The sequence below is a fragment of the Homo sapiens genome, chromosome 17, assembly GCF_000001405.40.
Source record: "Homo sapiens chromosome 17, GRCh38.p14 Primary Assembly".
Classification (NCBI taxonomy): Eukaryota; Metazoa; Chordata; class Mammalia; order Primates; family Hominidae; genus Homo; species Homo sapiens.
Window position 1 is genome coordinate 66682976 of NC_000017.11, and position 12492 is coordinate 66695467.

At 44.6% G+C, this 12492-nt stretch overlaps 1 protein-coding gene across 11 annotated transcripts in view; it reads left to right on the plus strand.

Annotated features, from left to right (window-relative positions):
- PRKCA (protein kinase C alpha) overlaps nucleotides 1-12492 on the plus strand; it is a 508131-nt gene that overhangs the window by 380363 nt on the left and 115276 nt on the right. For 8 of the 11 annotated variants that reach the window (XR_001752558.2, XM_047436388.1, NM_002737.3 and 5 more), the window contains 3 exons: nucleotides 4136-4292; nucleotides 5327-5461; nucleotides 5976-6072. Coding sequence is in view for 7 of the 11 variants with exons in the window: in XM_047436388.1 (XP_047292344.1) it covers nucleotides 4136-4292; nucleotides 5327-5461; nucleotides 5976-6072 (389 nt within the window). In the remaining 4 variants the exon portion in view is untranslated. Of the gene's footprint in view, nucleotides 1-4135; nucleotides 4293-5326; nucleotides 5462-5975; nucleotides 6073-8564; nucleotides 8933-11938; nucleotides 12023-12492 lie in introns of all 11 variants that reach the window. The other 3 variants (XR_007065315.1, XR_007065317.1, XR_007065316.1) reach the window with 2 other exon arrangements.

Sequence of the window (12492 nt, forward strand, 5' to 3'; positions counted from 1 at the left end):
TACGGATGTTAAAAAGCATTAAATTACGTGATGAGTTAGTTATTCTCAATTTTCTTTCAATCTCAGTTGAAGCAGCAAAGACTTCTGGGGCTGGAATATCCTTAACACACTAGCGCTTGTTAATTTCCCCTTTGTAGCTAAGAGACAGAAGATCTCAGGCAACTGGATCCAGCTAGAAATGAATAACATCTATTTTCATTGTGTTTACTTTTATGGTTACCTTCCATTTATGGCAAACAATCTTGGTTTTCTGTTTCCTATAGTGATGTGTTTCCTTTTTAAATGATGGATATTAAAAAGCGAGCCAATTTAAAGAAAAATGTGAATAATAGTTGAAGTCTTCAAATGATGTCAGTGTGCTAGGCCAGGGAGCACACTTAGAGAGCAAATGCTGGGTGCAGTGAACAGTGCCTGGACCTGGCTTCACCTGAGACTCACCTGGGGAGCTTAAAGATCCTGGTGCCTGGGTGTCAACCCGGACCAAGTAGATCTGACTCTCTGAAGGTGGGGCCCAGGGATCAGTGTTTGACTAAAACATCCCAGGTGTTTCCAGGGTGTAGCTGAGGTTGAGAATGTCTGCCCACCTATCCTGGGGCAGCGTCCTCACCCTCTGACTCCATATCTTTTTTTGGGGGGGTCGGGGGGATAGAGTCTCACTGTGTCACCCAGGCTGGAGTGCAGTGGCATGATCTCAGCTCACTGCAGCCTCCGCCTCCTGGGTTCAAGCGATTCTCGTGCCTCAGTCTCCTGAGTATCTGGGATTACAGGTGCCCACCAGCACGCCCGGCTTCTTTTTGTATTTTTAGTAGAAATGGGGTTTCACCATGTTGGCCAGACTGGTCTCAAACTCCCAACATCATGTGATCCACCTGCCTCAGCCTCCCAAAGTGTTGGGATTTGACTCCACATCTTGATCACATCTTTCCCTTGTTTCTCTCTTCTGTCTCTAGCCCTTGTTCTCATCCGCTTCCCCACTTCAATTTTCCTCTTATTTTCTCTTTCCTAGCTTCCCCAGCTTCCCCTCTTCCATCTTCCTTACAACTATTCCTATGAGTAATGCCCCCTAGCATTGCCTCTTAGCCTGACATTCTTGAAACCATACAGTTGAAACCCTGTTAGAACATTACCACACTGTACTGTTTTCCCCGGCATTTGCTTACCACTCCGTAAGCTGTTGGTGCAGTTTCTGCACATCTAAGATTGTTCTCCACCAGTAACTTGTATTAAGAGCAATTATGATCATCACTATTGTGCTCTCACCGAGTGCCTATCACTGCTCTAAGCACTTTACATGGATGAGCCTACATAATCCTTGCTTGAAGGAGATATAATTTTCCAGATGAGGAAACTTAGGAAGATAAAATAGCTTGTCCACAACCACAGAGTGGCAGAGCCAGAATTCAAATGCAGGCAGCCTTGCCCCAGATCCTACACTCTGAGCAGATGGGACCCTAAGTTAGTTGCTCGTAATCCTGATTCAGGTGTCCTGGCATGCCATGAGTCACACTCACACAGGCTGTTCTCTGCTGTGATAAGAAATTGAAATTTGGACCCACTATTTGCTTCAATGACATTTAGAATTGATAACTCTTTTTATTTTCAACTTAAATGGTAGTATCTCAGTAGGACACTCACAGCTTTAAATCCCATCAAGATTTTAACTCATCACCATTCCGAAGAGATCTTACTTAAATGATTTTTTTTGTGTGTGTTGTCTGTCAGGAATATAAATTGAAGATATAAAAGCCAGCACCCGCAATAATTCTGCAACTGGTAGGAGGCAACCCAGGACCTCTTGGTGACCTTAATAAGGGTCTTCTTTGGCTTATCCAGGATGTGACCTTCTGCAGCCTCCAGTATTAGACATTCCAGGGCATTTTCTGCCTTTTAAAAAGCATCTGATTCTCATTCTGGTGTTTAATCAGAGAGAGACCGTTGGCCTCTTTCCATTCCTCATGGGAGAGCTCCATTTTTGTGCTCACATTTTTCATCTTTGGTGATACTCAGGGTTGATGTTTTAGTGGGCTAGACTTTCTGCATTGGATTAAAACCTTTCACATGAGCTTGGTGAATTCTCCAGTGACCAAGTCCCCTGGGGGCCTCCAACCCTATAGATTCCAGCATGATAAGAGTGGAAAGGAGTCCGGAACATCATGCCTGGGGTATAGTGAGCACTCACACCATGGATTTATTTTTTCATTTTCCAAGCCCCCAACCATGTAAGGTATTTTATAAACATTATTTTATTTGATTCTCCCAACAATTCTATACCACTGGAATTATGTCCGTCTTCATTTTTCTAGATGAAGAGACAGAGGCTCAGAGACTAAGCTTCCCAGTGCTCAGGGTTACATGGTGAAGGAGGCAGAGTTTGCATGTACACCTGCTGAGCCACAGGGACCATGCCTATGTGTTTTATTTGTGTGCTATCTGCTCCCTGAGATGAATGAGGTTAGATATTTTCTTAGGAGAAGAAATACTTGGAAGGCACAAATGGGGTATGACAAACTATGTTCAGCTTCTCTGTGGCTAGCAGACCTGAGCTAGCCCCCTCCCCCTCTGTATTTGAATATAGTCCCATCTGTTACCTACCTATGTAAGGCTTCCAGGTAAGGAGGATGTAAGGCTGTTGGCTGGCAGGAGGCAGAACACAGTAGATCCACAGACTAGTAAAGGCAATGCCTGTCTCTGACTTCCGATCTTAGGGCTGTACCTCCCTCATTTGTGTCCAAAGACCCAACATCTTTAGGGTTCTCCCCCTGCCTCCTCCCCATCTAACCCTGCCCACTGACAACTCCAGTGCCTTCTTCTCAAGTTCTTCTGTAATTCTTAATTTAATAATCAAACTATGCTGATAAACTATGCTAATTGCCTAGATCTGTGGTTCTGCAACTTTTATGGACATCAGAATCACCTGGAGGCTTGGTAAACACAGATCATTGGACCTCACCCCAGAGTTCTGATTCAGGAGGTGTTGCCAGTGCCGCCGGTCCAGGGACCACACTGTGGGAACCACTGAATCAGGGAGCCTGGTCCCAGTTATATGTGTGTTGATGGTGTCTGACCAGTTGGGTATCTGATAATTCAGCCTTACTGGGAAAGATGCCATGGGAAGATAGGAAGGCATTTGAGATAGGAGACTCAGGCTTTTGTCCCTTCATCATAGCAGTAGATAATTATCTTTTACGTTGACGTGCAGTGGCTTTAGACAGCTTCTCATGGTTGTGAGCCTCTGCCAGCTCTTAAATCTTTGAGCCTGTTTTCCTCTGTGGATGAAATGGCCTTTCCTTCTAATTATTTTTGATTCCCATATCAGGTTTCTCAAGCTAAGATTGCATTGGAAGCACCTGGAGGTCTTGTTAAAGTGAGGATTCTGAGTTATTAAGTCTGAGGTGGGACCCAAGGTTCTGCATGTCTAATGAGCTCCCAGGTGATATAGATGCTGCCGGTCCATGGACCAGCAATTCTGAGTTACAACTGTATACAGCAGTGGTGCTTGCCCCTGCTGCCCAGTAGAATCACCCAAGGAGCTTTTAAAAACGAATACTTGAGCCACATTCCTTGGAGATTCTAGTTTAATTCTGGGGATTAGAATTTTTAACTCCCCCATTCCCCAACCCCCATGTGATTCCAATGTACAGTCAGAGTTGGAAGCCATTGGCCTTTACCCACAAAAAGGGATAACACCTTCTGGGAGCTCAGGTGCGTGTGTGGCACCATAGACCAGGTTGGGCTGGTCGCTTCCATGCAGGGAGGGTGCACCATTACTCCTGGGGAGCTGCAAAGGTCACCTGGGAATCTTGTTAAATTACAGATTCTGCTTTGGCAGGTTTGGGGTGGGACCTGGGTTTCTGCATTTCTAATAGATATCTTAGTGTTGCTGATGCTGCCAGTCCAGGCTGGTGCTAAGTCCCAAGACCCACCCACAAGGGCCCACACGATGCCCATTATCTCTGCCGGTGGTGGCAGCGGGTAGCTTTTCTCATGTCGAGTGTTAGAGGCTTTTGGCTTCCACCATCTGTCTCCTTAAACGCCATTCTGACGTCTCTTTTATTCAGCTTGGTATTGACACAAGACAGCGGGCAATATAGGTCTGTTCTCTTTTTGTAATATTTTCTTCCTTCTCTCTTCACAGTACGAGATGCAAAAAATCTAATCCCTATGGATCCAAACGGGCTTTCAGATCCTTATGTGAAGCTGAAACTTATTCCTGATCCCAAGAATGAAAGCAAGCAAAAAACCAAAACCATCCGCTCCACACTAAATCCGCAGTGGAATGAGTCCTTTACATTGTAAGTGGTCTCTCCTTGATCAAATTTCATTCCTATACACCATGCAGTTGCCCACCTCATTATTTGAGGTAATGAAGTAGGTTCATTATAAACGTCTTTAAACATGTCTTCAGTCCTAAGACCTCCTCAGGCTGCCATTAGGGAGGTAGCTATTAGCACCTGTTCGATAGATAGTAATTTGATTTATCAAGAGTTGCATAATTCAGGCCTCAGATTATTATTATCTAATCTGGATAAACAATTCTATTTAAGGAAATAGAATTAAGGTAAATAGAATTTAAGCTAAAAATGTGTCAGGTGTGTCCACCTCTTGATGGACTTAGGTTCTTTTGGGAGTTAGGGGAGGGCATAAGGCAAGAATTTAAATAATTTTTAGACCACAGAATGAGTGAGTAACATAGAAAGTGTTATTGCCACTGAAATGGGAAGATCATTCTTGCCTTCAAAGAGAGAAGACTTCCTGGAAAAGGTGACATTTAAAGCCAGCCTGGGAGGGTTGCCAGGATTTCAGAGGTAGAGAAGGGGAAGAAGGAAGGAGGGAATAAATAAATCAGGAGGACTGAGTGTAGCTGAGGGAAAGCAAGAGTTCCCCTTTGTAGAGTAGTATACAGGAAGCAGTTTTTCTGTGGACAACCAGAAAGGTAGCTGTCTGTTCTAGAGGGACCAGCAAGCTCTGCTCTATAAAGGATCAGATAGTATATATTTTAGGCCTTGTGGGTCATATAGCCTCTGTTGCACCGGTATAACTTTCTAGTGCCAAAGGAGCCATAGGCAATATGTAAACAGATAGCCATGGCTGGGTCCTAATAAAACTTTATTTATAAAAATAGACAGTGGGATAGATTTGGCCCATGGGTCATAGTTTGTTAACTCCTGTAGCGCTTTGCTTGCCAGCATAAGGGGTTGGTATTTTACTGGACCAGGAAGACAAATATACTATTTCTTTATCTCAGGCTCGAGTCATATACATGTGGTATCTCCCAAGAAACCATGATCAAGATAACCTAGTGTTTGCATGTGTGTGTGTCTTGTAGCAAATTGAAACCTTCAGACAAAGACCGACGACTGTCTGTAGAAATCTGGGACTGGGATCGAACAACAAGGAATGACTTCATGGGATCCCTTTCCTTTGGAGTTTCGGAGCTGATGAAGATGCCGGCCAGTGGATGGTATGGAAGCCGCTTAGGTTGAGTATGTCTCAAAGCATCAGACCATTTAGACAGTTAGGTTTCAGTCTCTCAAATGTCAGTTGAGGCTGGACATGGTGCCTCATGCTTGTAATCCCAGCACTTCAAGAGGCCGAGGCAGGTGGATTGCTTGAGCTCTGAGGTTTGAGACCAGCCTGGGCAACATGGAGAAACCCCACCTCTACAGAAAATACAAAAATTAGCCAGGTGTGGTGGTGTACCCCTGTAGTCCCAGCTACCCAGGAGGCCGAGGCATGAGGATCACTTGAGCCCAGGAGGCTGAGGCTGCAGTGAGCTTTGATTCCGCCACCGTCCCCCAGCCTGCACAACAGAGCTACCCTGTCTCAAAAATATAAAAATGTAAAAAAAGTCAAATGTCTACTGATCTGGCTGTAGCCTCTCCGTAGGATGCGTTTCACAAAACCGCTCGACTAGAGGCTGCAGGAAAGGCTTGTTAAACTTGCGGTGGTAACTCTTCTTCTCCCGTCCTTGAAAGGTACAAGTTGCTTAACCAAGAAGAAGGTGAGTACTACAACGTACCCATTCCGGAAGGGGACGAGGAAGGAAACATGGAACTCAGGCAGAAATTCGAGGTGAGGATAACAAAATGCCCGGAAACACCTTTCCTTTAGAAAGCCCAACTTCAGGAACGGCCGAGATGTTGTGGTCACATTTTTGAAAAGCAAAAAAAAAGTAATCTCAATGTTAATGATCTTTTTCTTTATTTAAAAACATGAATGTTGTTCGTTCCCTTTCCTTTGCAAGCTGTTGACTTTTTATGACTCTTACCACTTAGAAAATGGAAACTGGAAATATCGCAGAACTGAGAGCATGGTTGATTTCTGCATAAGAGATCTGTTTGCACATCACTGGGGAGAGAAGCAGGCTCTGAGGGCAGGATTGTTCTTACAAAGGAGGACTTGTGCTCTTCTGAAAAGGAGGAAGTCATTTTGGCCTTTCCTTGGGAGCTCATTTGTGTGTAATCAGGCTATCATCTGAGACTTTTTTTTTCTACAGAAAGTACAAGGTTCCTAATTTTGTTCTGAAAGAGCAGCTTAAACAAATATGCCTTTGTGTGTGATCCCTTTTTATTTATGCTCCAGATGTTTAGCAAAGGCCACCTCCTTCTCTTCTTCCTCTTGGTATTTGTGTTTGCCTCTGTCCCGGATTCACTGGTCTTTTTACTTCTCCTCCTCTGCTCCTTACTCCTCTTTTTCTTCTCCTCTCTCTCCCTTCTCCTCTTCATTTACCGACATCTCAGCTTTTAGTAAACGGTTCTTTTCTGTAAGCACCTTCCTTATGTTTTAAAGGCACAACTTCTAATATTTGTCTGTTTCTCTAATCACCCTTCATTTTGGCTGTTCGAGGGACTCCTAGAGTAGCCTTTTCAGTCTGTGTAACTGGTTAATTCCTTCGTGAATCTTTCTCTTCTTCAGACTTGTTAGAATTCCCTGGAATTTCCCCGCTCTAGAGCAGTACACGTGCACACGCACACATGTGTGTAGATGCTGAACTGCTACTGAAATGTTGACACTAATGGGATGCTGATGCTCCTCTTTTCCTTCTTCTGTTGTTCTCCAAGAAACATACAGATCTGGGGGGTGGGGAAGAGTGGTCTTGGGGGGATAATAAACCTCCTTCATGCCCCCCACAAAAGAAACATATAGGTCTTATCCAGAGAGAATGAATCCCAAAGGATGTAAAACATGCAGTTGTTCAAATTACTTTGTTAAACTGATGTTTGGTTAAAGTTGATGTTTGTGGCAAATACTAAATGGCAGGGGCTCTTTGGTTAGATGTCCTTGGGAGCACAGACGAGTGAAATGATTCACAGATAATAAATGGCAATGAACGGCAGGCCTCGGGATTGAAGCAGGAGGGAGTGGTGGAGACTGGGGTGAGCTGGTAAGCTTCAGCTCTGTCTGCAGGTGGCAGCTACGGCTACCCTGCCCCACTCGATGTTTCTCACAGGCGAGTCCAGGCCCTCTATTGCCGGATCTTCCTTCTTCCAGAGAAGCCAGAAATCCAGGTTTTTATATGATACATTCTGATTTATCTTAATGTTGGCAGAGTTCTAATGTTAAAACTTAGAACCAGGCCCTGTGCAGTGGCTCACTTCTGTAATCCCAGTACTTTGGGAGGATGAGGCAGGCAGATCACTTGAGGTCAGGAGTTCAAGACTGGCCAACATGGCGAAACCCAATCTCTACTAAAAATACAAAAATTAGCCGGGTTTGGTGGCATGTGCCTGTACTCCCAGCTACTCCAGAGGCTGAGACACGAGAATCACTTATACCTGGGAGGCGGAAGTTGCAGTGAGCCGAGTTTGTGCCACTGCACTCCAGCCTGGGCAACAGAGCAAGACTCTGTCTCAAAAAAAAAAAAAAAAAAAAAAAAATTTAGAGCTGTCCGGATGTGGTAGCTCACACCTGTGGTCTCAGCACTTTAAGAGGCCAAGGCAGGCAGGTTGCTTAAGCTCACAAGTTTGAAATCAGCCTGGGCAACATGGCGAAACCCAGCCTCTACAAAAAATAGCAGGGTGTGGTGGCATGCACCCATAATCCTAGCTACGAGAATCACTTGAACCTGGGCACGAGAATCACTTGAACCTGGGAGGCAGAGGTTACAGTGAGCCAAGATCACGCCAGTGCACTCCAGCCTGGGCAACAAAGTGAGACCCTGACTCAAGAAAACAAACAAAAAACTTAGAACTCTGTGTAGGTCAAATATGCATCTATTGCTTTAGACACCAGTAGGATTCAACCAGTAAGAACCAGCTTGCAGTCTCTGCTCTTCAAAAATAGAGAAAAAATAATTTTAAAAAATTATTTGTATAGTTATATATATTACAATATGTATAAATAAAAAGGTGCATGTATCTGTGTAACTACTATTTGTCTATCTATCAATAGAGAGAAAAGAATGAGATTCTTTTCAAAGATGCTTTATAATATTTAGAGGAATTCAAGTACAAAGATGAAAGTCAGGGTTTGGGGCAGGTTCAAATGTCTATGCCAGGCATAGCTCCTTTTCAATTTGTATTTCTTCCCTTGCTTCATTATCTGTTTCCACCCCTACCCTGCAGCTGAGGATGCAGACCTGGGGTACTGGACAGGACCACCTTCTTGAGCCCCATCCCTGATGTCACACCACCTCTGTGACGGATGGATCCTTCTAGAGAGAGTTTCAGGACTGAGTGCCAGCATTCTTCAGCTGTCTCAGGCAGGGGAGGAACCTGAGGAGCCAGAAAGAACCTTCCTTACCGAATGTTATGCCATGGTGTTGATCACGAGCAGTCACTGGGTCAGGGGCTGTTGACGCAGAAAGAGTGCATTCGAGGGAGGAACAGCACGGGCGTTCCCCACAGGGTTCCTCACAGTAATGTCTGAGACTTAGCTTTGCTGCTGGAGAAATATTGACCCACTCTTTGTGCTTCATTGTCGTGGCTTCCTGGTGAGTAAACTTCCTGTTTTTCTGGGCAATGAGTTCAGCTTTTTATAAAGGTCAGAGTTCTAAACAAACAAACAAAATACAGGCCAGAGGACCTGAGCAAAACGAAGCATTTCTCTTGGGAGGCTGGTCAGAGGCCGCAGGGCTGTTGCTGCTTACTATTCCTCCTCCTGGGAGGGCTGTGGACTTGGCAGGAGCGCCAGCCCAAGGCTGTGAGCATCCTGGGGAGAGGTGGCATCAGCAGAGTTGCATGGGGTGGAGGCTCTGCTCTTCAGCCTAGTGAGGTCTGTGTTTGGAGCATCTACATGAACTGCATTCTAACCTTTGCTTTAAATACCTTTCAGCTTATAGTTCCTAGATTTTACTCAAATTACATTAGCTCATTTGCTTAGAGCATTTTAAAAAAACACAACTGCAAGAGACTGGGCAGAAAGCCACTAGAGGATGGCGTCAAAAAGATGCTGAGAATTTTACGACAGCTGCCATGCTTCATTTTAAATACATATTCAGATCTGATTTTAGGCAGGGGTTCAATCACGTAATGGTGTTTTGTTGAGGTCTATAAATGTGAGAGTTGCAAGACTTCCCCAGTGCCAAGTTACTGGGAAGGGATGCACCAGGGCAGAAAGGCTGGCATCCACATTTGAGCAGTTCTGGGTAGCAGCCAGGCTTTGCAAACAGGGTGCCATCAGTTGGCATCAGGTCCAATTTGAGGCACCTCTTTGAGCCCCCACCCCGTTTCCTCCTTTTCGGTCTGTAGCATGAGTGCTTCCCAGTGTCTCCAGGCTCCCCTCTCTGGGCCCTTTCTCGCCAACTAACTGCCATTCTAACTTGCTTTCCATCACATTAGTCTTTTCTTCCCTACCCACTCTTTCATAGATACTTTGCCACCCTCCAGTAACAGTTTGATTCAGCTGAGTAAGATTTTTTTGTTAAGTTCAATGATGAATCTGTATTGGTTGAAACACACACGAGGGTTCGTCCTGTTGGGAACAGGCATCACTCAGTGGGATCACACAGTGTCCAGTCTGTCCTTATCCTTCCATGTCCAGCCCTGTTTTCTAAAAAGGGTTCCCTCCATGCAGTTTTCGAATCCTTCTCCAAAAATCAAAAGTCATTCAGTTGGATGAAAGGGAAACCAAACGAGCATTTACAACTCTGCCACTGCATTAGTATTCATTCGATAATTAGGTGGAAAGTTTTTGCAATTTAAATGGTTGGTTCTCAAATCTTGGCAAACAGAATGATCAGTGACTGGAGCTCTTAGGAGCCAAGGAATATTCCAGGGTGGCTGGAGATGACCTTCCTCGCTGGTAGAGATCCTGCTAGAGCAGTTCATCCTCCTACAAGACAAAACAAACCAGAACCTTGATTGCGATACTCATGGACAGTGTGTCTGTGGGCCTTTAATCTGTTCCACGTTTGTCATCAAGTAAAGTACACGTGGTCCCTGATTCACAAACATAAATAATGCATTTTTCCATTTGTTAAAAAAAGTAAGGTGCCAGCAGTGGGCTAAGCAGACAGTTCCTGCTTTCTTTGGAGCTTACGTTCTGTATCTATGGGCCCTGCTGCAAAAATATTTGGGAACAAAGCAGGGAGCTTATCATATCCCCTGTGCTGGCCAGTGATTCCCCTGAATCTCCAGGCACTATTGAGGACAACTGAGATTCCTGTTTTTCCCTCTCACTGCTTGGTCTCTGCTCCCTGTGATGAGGCTCACGGCCAGAGTTGGGAAAAGGTCCACCTTGCGTTAGAGGCAGTGCAGAGGATGGGTTAGCTCTGCTCAGCAAACTTTTTCTGTACCTAGTCAGATAATAAATATTTTAGGCTTTATGGGCCATGCGGTGTCTGGTATAACATTCAAGTCTGCCGTTGCAGCTCAAAAGCAGCCACAAATACATAAACAAATGAGTGTTGGTGTATTCCAATAACACGTTACTTACAAAAACAGGTGGCAGACCAGAATTGGCCCAAGGGCCAGTTTGCCAACTTCTGGTTTAGCCCGTAGGCTCTAGAATCAAATCCTAGTTTAGTCACTTATTTACTATGTGACCTTTCTGTGCATTGGCATGCTTAACTATAAATGGAAAAAATAGGTCAGGATAACTAGTTCTGTTTTTCTATTAGTTATAAATAGAACTAATATCCTGATACGATAGGATATTAGTTGTTGTCAGGGAAGTAAATATAATACCACAGTGAGAAGTCAGCTTGCACTGATCCTTCTCGATTCAATGGTTTGATGTTGGGTCCCGATTACAAACTGAAAAGTAGGCACATATAAAAGATGATTTGGCCAGGCGCGGTGGCTCACGCCTGTAATCCTAGCACTTTGGGAGGCCAGGGTGCTGGATCACGAGGTCAAGAGTTCAAGACAAGCCTGGCCAAGATGGTGAAACCCTGTCTCTACCAAAAATACAAAAAATTAGCCGGGCATAGTGGCGGGCGCCTGTAATCCCAGCTACTCGGGAGACTGAGGCAGAGAATTGCCGGAACCCAGGAGGTGGAGGTTGCAGTGAGCTGAGATCGTGCCACTGCACTCCAGCTTGGGCGACAGAGCGAGACTCTGTCTCAAAAAAAAAAAAAAAAAAAAAAAAAAAGGATTTGATGTAAACCACACGAAGAATCAACACAAGTATAATCATAATGATTGTTGCAGCTAATAATTCATTAGAGAAGTGATTATGTTAACAACAGAAACGTCACAGTTGATTGACTACTGATTGCATTCACATGAAGGTCCAGTACTTTTGTTGGTGTAATATTGCCCTCTGATCTTTTACAAAATCTGGGATCTGAATCATTCACATCTTGAGCTGTACCCAGGAAGTTACATGCTACATTCACATTTCCAATGGTTAAAAAAAAAAAAAAAAAAAAAAAAGGTATCTTCTAGCCACATCTTTCCCTCTTTTAAGACAGTTCCCGAAGTTCTTATTGTCATTTGCATTTCATTTCCATGGCTTTTAGTAAGCTTAGTATTTTTGTTTCTTGTTTATCCGTCAGTTGATTCTTTCCCTGAGCCTACTTGGGCTACATCTACCTTCAGAGCCTTGGAGTTGTCCTAGAATCAAGAAAATGGGCTGAGAGGTAGGGGAAGGGGAAAGGTGAGGGGAAGGGAGTTCTGGGACCAGTTTCTAGGCCTGCCTGGGATCCAGCCATTTCCTATCCCCAGAGTTACATTCCTTCCTTTCCTCAGCGCCCCTTCCTCTTGTGCAGAGCCTTTCTCCTAAGCTTGGCCCCTCTTCCCTAGGGCTGTTTACTCTGTCCAAGACCTTCTTCCCCAATCCTGCAACCTCAAGAGAAATCAAGCCAGAAGGGCAAATAACCCCAGCCATGGACCTGGCTCCCTGGGGCTGAGGGCACTTCAGGACAAGTGGTGAAGACCACGTCTCCCTTCTCCAAGCTTCAGATTTCACAAAACGAAACATACGTTTGCTCATTTTGCTCCAGTATCACAATGACTACTTTTAATTTGCATTTTGATGGCTTTTAGCTGGGAATGGACTTTCAACGAACTCATTTCTACCTGTAGGGTTGCTTATCTACTCCATGTGCTG